Source organism: Homo sapiens, chromosome X (assembly GCF_000001405.40).
Source record: "Homo sapiens chromosome X, GRCh38.p14 Primary Assembly".
Taxonomy (NCBI): Eukaryota; Metazoa; Chordata; class Mammalia; order Primates; family Hominidae; genus Homo; species Homo sapiens.
In genome coordinates, this window is record NC_000023.11 from 44,992,898 (window position 1) to 45,006,342 (window position 13,445).

The following is a 13,445-nucleotide window of genomic DNA, read 5'->3' on the forward strand; positions in this document are numbered from 1 at the left end:
TTCATTGGCTGGGTGGTAGTCATGATATATAGTTGTCAATGCCTATGCATACTCATCTTTGTTGTTTTTCCTCCTGTCATGATTAGATAGCTGTAGCCTATTGTTTCAGTAGATAAGTCACTTATGGAGCATCTGAGGAAAGAATATGAGTTTTGATTGCTGACTAAAAACTTTTCATTGTCAGCTTCTGGTAAGGTCAAAAAAGTGATGTCAAAACTTGCAGAAATGGGGTTTGTAGACAACAGTGGAAGAATCTTCTAAGAAATGCTATATCACCACCTTTTTTGATGTCCCAGTAGTTGATATTGTGTGGAAAAACATGGACGAGAGTATGGTTAACAGGATTAAAAAATTATTCAGAATTGGACACTAAGGATATCTTAATGAAATTTTTTCACTTAAATTTTCCTTTATGTGTGAAAAAAAGAATGTGATAAAAATTTATCTTTACCATTAAAAATAACTGAAAATAATTTTAATTGCTTTTTTTTTATTTGAGATGAGGTCTTACTATATTGCCCAGGCTGGTCTCAAACTCCTGGGCTCAAGTGGTCTGCCCACTTCTGCCTGCCAAAGTGCTGGGATTACAGGTGTGAGCCACTGCACCCAGCTTCTTACTGAATTTTCACTGACTCCTAGTTTTCCTGGATAGTTTTAAAAAGTTGTTAGTGTTGTTTTAGCTCTTTTGATGCTGTTTTGAAGCTGTTTTATAGCTCTTTTAATGTCTTTTAAAAGCTCTCCTCGCGGATCACGAGGTCAAGAGATCGAGACCATCCTGGCCAACATGGTGAAACCCCGTCTCTACTAAAAATTCAAAAATTAGCTGGGCATGGTGGCGCGTGCCTGTAGTCTCAGCTACTTAGGAGACTGAGGCAGGAGAATAACTTGAACCCAGGAGGCAGAGGTTTCAGTGAGCTGAGATCACGCCACCGCACTCCAGCCTGGAGACAGAGTGAGACTCCGTCTCAAGAAAAAAAAGCTCTCGTCTTTTTCTTCTGCACCTTCCCTTTGTGCATAGGATTTGTCTTCCTTTATTCATCTTTCTGCATCTGGGGAGTATTGCCTTCAGCACTAGAAAATTTTCAGCCACTACATCTTCAAATATTGCCTGTGTTCCATTTTATTTTTTGACTCCATCTACATTTGGTTTTAGAGATATGATAGATTTTCCCACATACCCATAACCTCACTTACTTGTTTTTCTTGGTGAATATTTGAAATATACTCTCATCAATTTGAAATATACATGATTATTAACTATAGTTACCATGCTCTGCAATTGATCACTAGAATTTATTCTTGTCTAAGTGAAACTTCGTACCCTTTGAATAGCATCTCCCCAATTCCCTTTCCCCACCCTCCCTGAGCCTCTGGTAACCACTGCTGTTCTCTTTACTCCTATGAGATAGATATTCTTTGAGTTTGACTTTTTTAGATTCCACATGTAAGTGAGATCATGCCGTTTTGTCTTTCTGTCTCTGGCTTATTTTGCTTAACACAAGGTCCTCCAGATTCATCCATGTTGTCACAAATGACAGAATTTCCTTCTTTTAAAGGCTGAATAGTATTTCAAGGTGTATATATACCACGTTTTCTTAATCCATTTATCCTTCAATGGATACTTTGGTTGATTCTGTATCTTGTCTATTGTGAATAAGGCTGAAATGAATATGGGAGTATAGATGTTATAAATAAAGTTTTAGTGCCGCAAAAGAAATAGCACTCGAATATAAAGTTTCCTTTTTAATTCTCAACAAGGCAAGGTACTTCTATAGAAGGGTGCACCCTTACAGATGGAGCAATGGTGAGCGCACACTTGGGCAAGGGAGGGGAAAGGGTTCTTTCCCTGACACACCTGGCCCCTGCTGCTGTGTCGTTCCCCTATTGGCTAGGGTTAGACTGCACAGGCTAAACTAATTCTGATTGGCTAATTTAAAGAGAGTGACGGGGTGAGTGGTTTGGCAGGAAAAATGGTTATGACAGGGCAGGTAATTGGAATGAGTCAGGGTGGAGCAGGTAGTCGAAAAACGTTGCTTTACGAGGAAGTGAAGTTTAAAAGTAGAAGGCAAAGAAATGAACATACTGATTCCTTGGAAAGAAATTTAGAACTCATATATAACATAGATATCTCTTTGAAATTTTGATTTCAATTTCTATGATTTATAGCTAGTAGTGGGACTGCTGGATCAAATGGTGGTTCTATTGTTAGTTTTTCGAGGAAATTCCAACATTTTACTAAGAAAGAATCCCCAGGGGTTCAGATTTATGTGGGAAATCTTGGGTACAACTCTGTGTGGTACCTAATTTGTTTCCTAAGTCTCAGGGCATTTTATTGGCTTTCAGTGTTGGCTTACCTTTCTGTATTCTCCTTTTTTTTCAGCCTTTTTCCTTTTGCGGCCAGCTCAGCCATTCATTTATAAAGATCCTTTTAAAATATGTCATCTAATATTTTAAATAATTTTGTATTAGGAAGGTTTTTCAGTATGTATACTGCTTGCCATTGGCCTTATTTTTGGAAATTATACTATAATTTAAGGAAATATAAATGAAATTGTTGGGATACTATTTATTTATTTTTATTTATTTATTTGAGACGGAGTCTTGCTCTGTCTCCCCCAGGCTGGAGTGCAGTGGTGCGATCTTGGCTCACTGCAGCCTCTGCCTCCCCTGTTCAAGCAAGTCTCCTGTCTCAGCCTCCCGAGTAGCTGGGACTAAGGCTACCACACCAGGCTAATTTTGTATTTATTTTTTAATAGCGACTGAGTTTCCCCATGTTGCCAGGGTGGTCTTGAACTCCTGACCTCAGGTGATCCACCTGCCTCAGTCTCCCAAAGTGTTGGGATTACAGGTGTGAGCCACCAGGCCTGGCCTGTTGGGATACTTTTAAAAAATCCTTTGTGCTTTAATTATAATCATTTCTGTTTTTGAACCAGTTTGTGGTTCAGCAGCACGGGGAAGGAAGTTGTTGATGTTATTAGATGCATTGCCCCGTTGTCACAAAAATTCTAAATGCCAGGTAGTATTTTTAAGTATTTTACATGTATCATCTCATTTAATTCCTCAGACAACCCTTTGAAATAGGTACTGCTTTCTCCATTTTACAAAGATGAAGACATTGAGATCAGCTAACTTGTTTCATGAGTCTTTCTGAAATTATTTATTTATTTATTTATATTTGTTTATTTGTTTTAATTTAAGAGATAGGGTCTTCCTCTGTAGCCCAGGCAGGAATCCAGTGGTACAATTGTAGCGCACTGCAGCCTTGAACTCCTGGACTCAAACAGTCCTTTTTAGCCTCTCAAGTAGCTAGGACTACAGGCCTGCCCCACCATGCTCAACTAAGTTTTAAGTTTTTTGTAGAGAATGAGAGTCTCACTATGTTGCCCAGGCTGGTCTCGAACTCCTGGTCTCAAACAATCCTCTCACATTGGCCTCCCAAAGCGGTGGGATTACAGGTGTGAGCCACTGTGCTTGGCCTTTCATGATTCTCATAACTAGTAAGTGACAAGGCTTTGATTCTGACTCAGGTCTCTACAGTCTTGGGTCAGAATCACAGCCTTGTCACTTACTAGTTATGAGATGACTTCTACAGTCTGATTGCATTATTGCTGTACAATACTACACATACACTTTGGAAGCAGAACTTCTGCTTCAGTGTTGTGATTTGGGCATGATGCATATAATAAAGTTTTGCCAACCTCTTCTGCTAGATTATCTTAACTGTAAATGTTCTTTTAATTGTCCAGAAGGTAATTCAGACTATAATAAGGAAATGATTCTGTATAAATTGAATCAGCAAAGTATCATTCTTCTATGAAAAATATGTAACAGGTTATTAAAGACTGTAAGATACTGATTTACTCAGCGGCAAGACTTTCCTAATTAACTTACATATGCTGGTTACTTTGCTATAGGGATCAAAGCATGACTTGGGTTCGTTTTCTACCATTTATAGGGTCATATTCTAGTGGAGGAGATAAATGACATACTTACAAAAGATGTGAGTATTCATTTGGAAGTGAAATGGGAGAGATTCCCTTGCCCCCCTCGCAGGGCATGTGATGGGGGTGTGGCTCGCTTCTTCAGTGCCCCACTGCTCAAACCTCTAGGGGAGCATACAGACTGGCAGGCTGTGGGGCTCCCACCCCACGGCAATGTCTGTCTAGGGGTGAATGTTACAGCTGAATCCCCAGTGGGCATGTGTTAGAGGGTGCTCTTTTAGTTTGCTGTCTGTAGGCGGCTTGTGTTCACCAGCTCAGTTAGACCCTATACCTTGTCGCAAGGACAGAGGGTTTCCTGTATCCCGGGTTCTTGCCTTGGTGTACTGGAAGAATCGGATCACATGTGGGCTTGGAGAATTAGTGTAAAGTTTTATTGAGTGGAAAGTAGCTTTCAGCCTATGGGGTAGCCAGAGGGAGATGGCTGCTTGGCAGCCCCAGCTCTCCTCCGACTGCGCTGGCCAAACTCTGCCTAGTCCCACTGGTCAGTGGCCTGCCGGTGTGCCAGCGTTTGTGGGTGTGCTCTTCCGCCTGCATGCTCCCCTCAACATCCTCTCGATGTCCAGCCACTTGTCTTCTTCCACCGATGTGTTCCTCTCGCCATCTAGCAGTTTCTGTCTCTGCCTTGCTAGGGTCTTGGGTTTTTATAGGCCCAGGTTGGGGGCGTGGCAGGTAGGCAGAAGTGCCTGTCTTCACTTAGGTCTGAGGGGGTAGAGCCCTAGCCAGGGACCACACCCTCCTCTACCCAGCACTTCCCTTCTCCCATTCTGTATCATTTAAAGGGACCACACTCTTCCCTTCCCAGCAGTCCCGTATCAGAAGCATGTATTAGAAACTATAACTCACTCTGGGTTTTTGGGAATATGTCAAATAATACTTCTGGAAGGAAGAGGTGAATGTTGCTTTTTAAAGGATAGACAGGAATTTGCCCGATTAAGGAGTGAGTTGAGGGAAAGATGGCAATGGCTTTTTTAAGGCAGAGGAAGCAAACATGGTTAAAATCATAGAAATGTATAAGGTTGTATTTTATTCACAGATCTGCATGTTATTTGTCCTGACTGAAGTGGTGGTTATGAGATTGGGAACATTTCAGCAAGAGTCATAAAATGAAGGCCCTTATAAATCAAGCTAGATTGTGGGGACTTTTCAGAGGAGTTTAAAATAGAAAGTGCATGTTTTGCACTTCATGTTTGAGTTTTCGAAAGCTCACTGGCAGTGGTTTGGAGGGCAGATTGAAAGAGGAGGAAATGGAGAGAGAGCCTACAGTTTGGGAGACAAGTTAGAAAACTGTTGAAATAGGCCAAGTATGTAAAGTTGAGGTCCTAACTAACCTGGAGAAACATAGTAGGAATGGAGAAGGGGTGGATTCAAAGGCTTTTAGATTGTAAAATGAACTCTGTGAATAGAAGGAACATGGTTTATTGGTGGAGAAGAGGTGAGAGAGGAAAAGTAGGACTACTGTTTGGCTTGGTCAACTGGTAAGATTGTTACCACTATCTAAAATCTGCAGTACCATTAGACTTTCTTGTTCAGTGTTAAGATTCATGTAATTTCAGATATTCATGGTATATGTAACAGATGGGGGTAATTATAAAGAAAGTATTTGGAAATTCATACCTTTATAACCTTCATTTCTATACCCACCTTCCCCCTTTTTTTATTCCCCAGTAGGTTTTGTTTTGTTTTATTTTATTTTATCATATTGTGTTTTTCTTTCCCAGATCTGGTAGACAAAGGTACTCAGAGGGTTAATAGCAGATTTTTTTCCCCAACTGTGTATCACTAGGTTTGTGAATTAGAGTCATGATACAGTAAAATTAAGACATTTGATGTTTTTGTAATATTTTGGCATGGTTTTATTTGTTAATATCCTAGCATAAAAATATAATAGTCTTCAAAGATGATTACTGGGGTATGGGGTGCTTGGTGGTGGCTACAGTCAAATTCTTATTCCAACCCCAAATTGGCAACGTTATAACAACATAGAATCTTATTATTTAGAACCTAATTACTGTTGTTCCCCTTACCCATGAGGGATATGTTCCAAGACCCGCAGTGGATGCCTGAAACTTCAGGTAGAACTGAACCTTATTATATACGTTTTTGTCAACAAAAAGAGTCAAACTCTGTAAAACATTTTAGCTGGGAGTTGTGGCTCATGCCTCTAATTCCAGTACTTTGGGAGGCCGAGGCGGGTGGATCACATGAAGCCAGTCTGGCCAACATGGTGAAACCCCATCTCTACTAAAAATACAAAAATTAGCCGGCCATTGTTATATGTAAAGTTTCGGTGCCGCAAAAGAAATAGCACTTGAATATAAAATTTTCTTTTTAATTCTCAGCAAAGCAAAGTACTTCTATAGAAGGGTGCGCCCTTACAGATAGAGCAATGGTGAGCGCACACTTGGACAAGGGAGGGGAAGGGGTTCTTACCCTTGACACACGTGGCCGCCGCTGCTGCTGTGTAGTTCCCCTATTGGCGAGGGTTAGACCGCACAGGCTAAATTAATTCTGATTGGCTAAAGAGAGTGATGGGGTGAGTGGTTTGGCGGGAAAAATGGTTATGACAGAGCAGGCAATGAGTCAGGGTGGAGTAGGTAATCAAAATGAGTCAGGGTAGAGTAGGTGATTGAATAAGGGTGGAGCAGGTAATTGAAAAAGGTTGCTTTATGAGGAAGTTAAGTTTAAAAGTAGAAGGTAAAGAATTGAACATACTGACATATTGATTCTTTGAAAAGAAATTTAGAACTCATATCTAACAACCCCTCCCCTTGTATTTCCTCACAGCTTTCTTTTCAAACTTTTTTTAAACATGTCTTGGCTTAGTTGTTTGGCTTGATTTTCCAAAAGAAGATGCTTCTCTGGATAAGGTGGAGGATAGTTAAGGGAGGTTTGAGTAAGTGCCATTTTTATGAGCCTCTGCATCAACCTTTGGAGGCATGGTATGACACAGCACCTGACAAGAATAAGTACACCCATTACGGCTGCGAGGGAAGTAAGAATTGAGGCTATTATTCCTTTCCATTTACTGAACTACTTTTCTAGCCATCCTGTAAAGGGGTCATTTACCCCTGAGTTGTTGGCTAACTCATTGGACAGAGCAGTCAGACCTTGCAATGCCCTTGTTATACTTCCATCAGTGGTGGTGGTGTTTGGGATGAAAGTACAACATTGAGTTTTCATCATGACGCAAACTCCTCCTCTTTCTGCTAATATCATGTCTAAGGCTATCCTGTTTTCCCCAGCCATCTGGCTAGTTGCCCCTAGTTGTTCAGCTATTCCTTTAACAGCATCTCTAGTGTAGTTAATAAATTATTGTTGGTTGTAGTAGATGTGGTTTATCCAATCTACATTTTTATTAATTGTCACCTACCAAAATATTGACTTAAATCCTGCAGCTATTTGATTTCAGGTTTTAAATTGATCTGGTATTCCCCGTGGGACTCCAGTTGCGTCTAAATAGACATGAGAATCGAAAGACCCATAAGGGGCTTCTCTCACTGTACGATGTCTTATTTTTCCTTCCTCTGGTTGATGAAGTGCCAGGGTGAAAGGGGTTGATGAAGTGCCAGGGTGAAAGGGATAGCCAGTTGGACTAAAGCATAAGTGCCACTCCAGTTATTTGGCAGAGTGTCCAGTAAAGGTCCACCACAATACCACCACACATCTGCTCGGGGATGAACAAGGGCTGACTGACTGATAAGCTCTTGAAAATTCTTAAGCTCACTGCATCCCTTCAGGTCTCCAAGGAACGCCGTTTCTTCCCTGTCGTGAGAGACACGAAGTGAACTTAGTGTTGGGAGACGGAAGTTGGATGGCCCTCGGGGGCTGGGAGATGGAAGCTGGATGGCCCTCGGGGGCTGACCCGCAGGGTGCCGGACTTCGGGATATAGCAGAGAGAGCTTGGCATGACTTACTACTCCAGGCTGTAGAATCCTGGAAAAGAGCTACCATGCAGCCCACACCAGGTCAACTGGAGGACCACCTTAGTGGAAAGGGGACAATCTGGGCCTCTGGCCTGCTATGCGCACAAGCATAGCAATTGCTTTTGTTCAACCTGTGGACGGAATATTTGATCCATTCCAACCAGGCATTTGCATCTTGATATCCTGTCTTAATTGCCAAAGTTTGTTTTAAGTCTTTAACTTTTACTATAGCTATCTTGGTCTTGTCGTTAGATGGAGGAGGAGCAATTGTTCTGTTGTGAGAGGTTTTGGAAGGAGGCTTAGAGGAAGGTGCAGGCAGTAGGGGATCAAAGAAACTCATTTTAAAGAATTTAATAGGGTTTGCTGAAACCTCAGCCCCCATACCATAAAACCGGCTTAAAGAAGGGAACTGGCTTAGAAAAGGGGAAGAACTTTGAGCGTTTGAGATAATAACCTGTATAGAATTACACTGGTTTAGCTGACAGTGGGGAGGGCTGTCCTTCTAGTAAAATGTATGGTTTTAGGAAATTACAAAAACCGGTTGGGGCAGTCCATTCTTGTTCTTTAGTGCTCCACAGAATGTTGGACTAACTACAGCATAAAAGCTCTGCATTGGGGAGCAAGACTCCTGGTTGACACCGGGGTCTTTATCGAAATCTTTCTGGATTAAGTGGTCCCAATTTACTAAGGCCCAGTCTGAGGAGAGTCAGGAGGGACAGAGGTACTTTTCTGAAGTAGAGAGCTGTCTTTGACTTGGCAAGCACCCACGGGTATAACAAGGCAAGCATCAAATGCAATAGTTTGAGGCAAAATTGACTTGGTTATGTTATAACTAGATGGTCAGCAATAGAACGGGGAAAGAAGAAAGTAATAGAATAGATGAAAGAGAGTTAAATTTTTCTTAACTTTAGTTTGATAGTGTTTTCCCCTGAGACTATGGCCCACGACTCTTGAGGGAGCGGTGCTTTCTTGCCTCGGGTGTGATGAGTCTATCCCCCTTCCGCTGTAGGAACAGCAGTCTCCGTAGTTAGCAGCACAAGGTAGGGTCCTTCCCAGGCTTGCTTGAGTTTTCCTTCTTTCCACCCTTTGATGAGAACGTGATCCTCAGGCTGGTGCTGGTTTACCGGAAATTCTAGGGGTGGTGCCTGTGCTAAAAGACTTTTAGTTTTGAAGGAAAGGAAAGTGGAAGATAAACCAAGTATATAAATTCTAAGAAACTGATCTTTTGTTTTAAATGTGGGGACATCAGCAGTGGTCTTTATAGCCCTTGGTGCCTTCTTACTGAGAAATTTCCCTTAGCACCTATTTTTGTTAGTTTTTAGACCGAAGAAAGCCAAACACCGTTTTATATTTGACAGTGCTTCCTGTATGATTTTTATACTAGATAAGCTAAATTTCACCTTTATATTAGTGTGTTATTAATGTTAAACTCAGTTTTAATAAAACCTTGTAGACATATTTATCCAATTTTAATGTCTGACCATAAGGTAAAATTTTTATAGACTCTGTTTAACCTTTTATAATTTTTGTTAAAGAGCAGGTTAGTGCTTTAAGAAAAACCTTTTGTGCTTTTATTTTAATGTCCAGTTCACAGAAAGACTGGATGATACCTCTTTAACTTTAGCCAGTATGTTTACACACAGAATTTCCTTTACAATTAACATTTTAAAAATTGCTCAAACCTTTAAAACAAAATATATTTCTTTAACCTTTTAATGTAGGTAAAAATGCACATTCTTATGCCTCCTTTTAATCCTTTTACCAAAGGTATATTTTACTTTCCTTACAAACCTTGCACATAAACTGTTTCTTCAATAGTTTTACATTCAGGAGGCCTAATTACTTTTAAATTATATAACATTTCTTGCATAAATTCCCTTTTATAACATTTTTTTTCACGACTTTCACAGACAATTCTTTGACATACCTCAACTTTCTGACTTGTTGCAAACATCCCTTTCTTTAAACAACCAGTTAATTTATTTTAGGACAAGAATTTACCATATAACATTCTTTTTATATAAATTCTTCCCCTCCCCGCCCCCCCCCCCCTTTTCATTCTTCTCCAAAGTGAACTTCCTTTATGTCTGTGGACTAGACTGCCTAAGGCCACAAGATTAGAAGTTAGGATAATACATGTTACACTGTTAATTTTTAGCAAACTTTACTTTTGTTGAAAACCTTGTAAGTTTGGGATTTCAGTTATCCTTTGCTATTAATAAGACCTTGTTTAGTCCAAATTAACTTAGAATTGGTATAGATGGTTCCTTCCTGGTTCTGTAAGTACTTTAAGGCTTGGCTGAGTGCAAACAGCTCCCATATTTGAGCAGACTAATTATTAGGCAATTTTCCTAATTCTGCTTGTACAAGAGTTGCCCTATCAATTACTGAATACCCATTGTGTCTTTTTCCGTCAATCACCCAGGAGGAGGGAGGAACTGTCTATCGTCCTGTCCTGAAGGGAGTTCCTCCTAGGTCTGGTCGGACCTTTGTACAGTAATTAAGATTTAGATCCTGTTAGGAAACCTGCTGGGTTAAGGGAATTTTTAGTGGTTAATGTTGAATTATCCTTCTTTTTTTTTTTTTTTTTTTTTTAACAGAATAGCCTCATACTTTCTTGTGTTAGCAAAACAGTTGTCGCTACAGATTGAATGTATTAGGGCCATCTGCGGGTTACTGGGTTAAGGATTTTTGATAGGAAGGCTACGAGTTGTCAGTGGCCTCAGTGCTTTTGGGCTATGCCCTTGTTTACACTGACAAGGTGGTATTGGAGTGTTACAGTGTCACGGAGAAGACCTTCAATTATCAATTATAGGTTTTAAATTTACCCTGGCTTTTAAAGGAATAGGGTACACTGTTTTTTCCTTTACTACTTATCTCTCTCTCTCTCTTTCTTTCTCTCTTTGACTGTCTCTCTCTTTGACTCCCTCTTTGTCTCTGTCTCTTCCTCTCTCTGTCTCTCTTTGACTCCCTCTTTGTCTCTCTGTCTCTTCCTCTCTCTCTCTGCCTTTTTTTCCTCTCTCCCCTGCCTTCTCCTCTCTCTCCCCTCTCTCTCTCTTCTCCCCCTTCTCCCCCTTCCACCCCCTCTTCCACCCCCGCTTCTCTCTCTCTCTTTCCTTTCTGCTGGTTTTTCCCTGCCTCTGCCAGACGCTTATGCTGCTGTTCTCCCCTCTCTTTCCCCTTTTACCCCGGAGAGGGACTCAAGATAAAAGAGACAGAGCCCCTGACCTCCCTATTCTTCGTTGAAAGTCATGAGCGGAAGGGCTTCTTTTGTCCTTTCTTAGTTCAGGACATCCTCTCTTGAAGTGGCCTGTTCTTCGACATCAATAGCACCTATCTTGTCCTTCCTCCTTAGTTCTGGGATTCTTTAACCCTGCTCCACCATACTCTTTAGGGGGCCTGGTAGATGAGGACCTTGGTCCTCCAGATGGAGACTGGGGTCCTTTAAAAGAGGGTTTGGACCCTTTATAGTTTCTAGCTCCCTGGAAACTGTCTAGAAGTACCTGGGTTTGGAGCCATCTGTTGGAAGGTAGAAAACGTAAGTTTTGTCTTTTGTTTCTGTTTTTCTTCATCCCTTTTCACATATACTTTCTGAGCTTCCCTGAGAAGCTCACTTAGGGGACGGTCTTCTCAACTGTCTATGTTTTGTAACTTTTTTGAAATGTCTGGCCAACTTTTAGTGACAAATTGGAGTTTCAACATTCCTAGCCCAAGGGGATCATCCAAATTGAGGCCTGCATATTGCCTCATTTGCTCCCTCAGTCTGTCTAGGAATCTCATAGGCCCTTCATCCTTTTCCTGTTGTATGTCAAATGCTTTAGAAAGATTTCGGGTTCGGGGTACTGACTCCCGAATTCCTTTTATTATTGTCTCTCTTAGATCCTGCATATTTTCCTGTTGATCTGCTTTGTTATTGTCCCACCAGGGGTCTCAGGCGGGGAATTTCTGGTCCGCGGTAGGAACGTTTTCACCAGGAGGATGCTCACATTCCCAAACTACCATAGCAGCCCTACAAATCATACTCCTTTCTTCTCCTGAAAAGAGGATGCCCAAGATGGACATTAACTCGACCCAAGTGTATAACTGAGGTCCTAAGAATTGGGCAATTTGGTCTGCCACTCCATAAGGGTTATCTAGTAGTGGTTTAAGCTCCTTTTTAAAATTCTAGACTTTGGTTAAGGGAGCATTTACAAAGCCAGTGGCCCCCCCCTCCTTATGGTACCTCTTTCAAAGGGAAGAGGGTTGGGCCTCTTAGGTATGGAGGGAAATGGGAAATTCTGAATATCTTTTTTACATTGTTCTACCTCACGCTGGAGTCCTTTTAGAGAGGGGTCTTTAGGTTGGGAGGGAATGGGCTGGTGGGACGGTAATTCCCAAGAGTCAGAGTTATAAGGAGGAGGGATAACGTGAGTGGAGGTGGAATTTGGAATGGGATCTGAGGAGGCAGTGGCTGTCTGAGGGGAAAGATTGGGGACACTGAGTGGGGGAAGATAGTCTAGGGGATCCCATGCGCTGGAGTCTTTAGGCATGAGAGCTGGCTCCTCTGACTTTTCATTTTGAGGTGCCAGATTGGGTTCTTCCCTATTTGTTTTTAAGGGAAAAAGGAGGGCAGGTCCATGCCTCCAACAGAGGGCATAGCCTAGTTCTTCTGAGACACTCGACTTTTATCATTAACATGTCGGATTAGAAGCTGACACATTACATCCTCATTCGATCTAAACTTTGGCCAGAAGATTGAGGGTTTGAGGATGGGTCTTTGAGTCTAAATTAAACAGCAATATTTTATCATTTGTTGCTTTTTCCTATGTTTAGTCCTTTCGTTATCCTTCCAGTGTTTTAGCTTGAGACCTAGGGGGCTATCTGGGGGGATATCTTTGTTACCATCTTTATCCCTCTTGCTCCCTGTCTTGCTTGGGTTATTTCCCATCTTGATGGTTTTGGGGTAAGTTTCAAGGTTCAATTTCCCTTACTGAAAATTTGTCACCTTTTGTGGGGAGGCTCAATTTCCCCCACTGGAAATTTCTCACCTTTTCTACTACTGGAGGTTCGTGTGAAGTTCAGTCCCCTCCAATGGGCATGTCTCACCTCTTTTTAACCTGTAAGCCACCCCAACCAAGGAGTACTTCACCTCACCCCCCCACCCCCCCACCCCCCCCACCCCCCACCACCCACCACCCACCACCCACCACCCACCACCCGGCTTTCTTACCTTGGTCCCTACCACCAAGGAAATACTTTACCGGCTCCTGTGGCTTCTCCTTCCTTGGTCTGTGTACAGTCATCAGTGTGGTATGTGAGAATCCTTTAAGCTAGGTTACTGGCCAGTCCCCCCCAGCCCTGCGCCCCCCCCCGCCGCCATGTTGCCAAGAGCTTGGGTTATTCCTCGCACTGGGTGAGTTCTGATTTCTCACCCCTGAGGTGACCACAAGGGGCAGGGCATGCCTCCTCATGAGGGAGAACCAGAGACTGTCGGGAGGGGAATGTAATCATGGGTGAGCCCCCAAATTGTTATACATAAAGT

At 42.0% G+C, this 13,445-nt stretch overlaps 1 protein-coding gene across 25 annotated transcripts in view, besides 1 other annotated feature; it reads left to right on the forward strand.

Moving 5' to 3' along the window:
• The window catches only part of KDM6A (lysine demethylase 6A), a 239,592-nt gene that overhangs the window by 119,710 nt on the left and 106,437 nt on the right, over nt 1-13,445 (forward strand). The window lies entirely within an intron of this gene.
• Nucleotides 3,448-3,497: a silencer, noted in NCBI's record as "silent region_20788". NCBI's record gives its function as "represses an Ori minimal core promoter by ATAC-STARR-seq in GM12878 lymphoblastoid cells {active_cell/tissue: GM12878}" and the evidence as "EXISTENCE:reporter gene assay evidence [ECO:0000049][PMID:35858748]".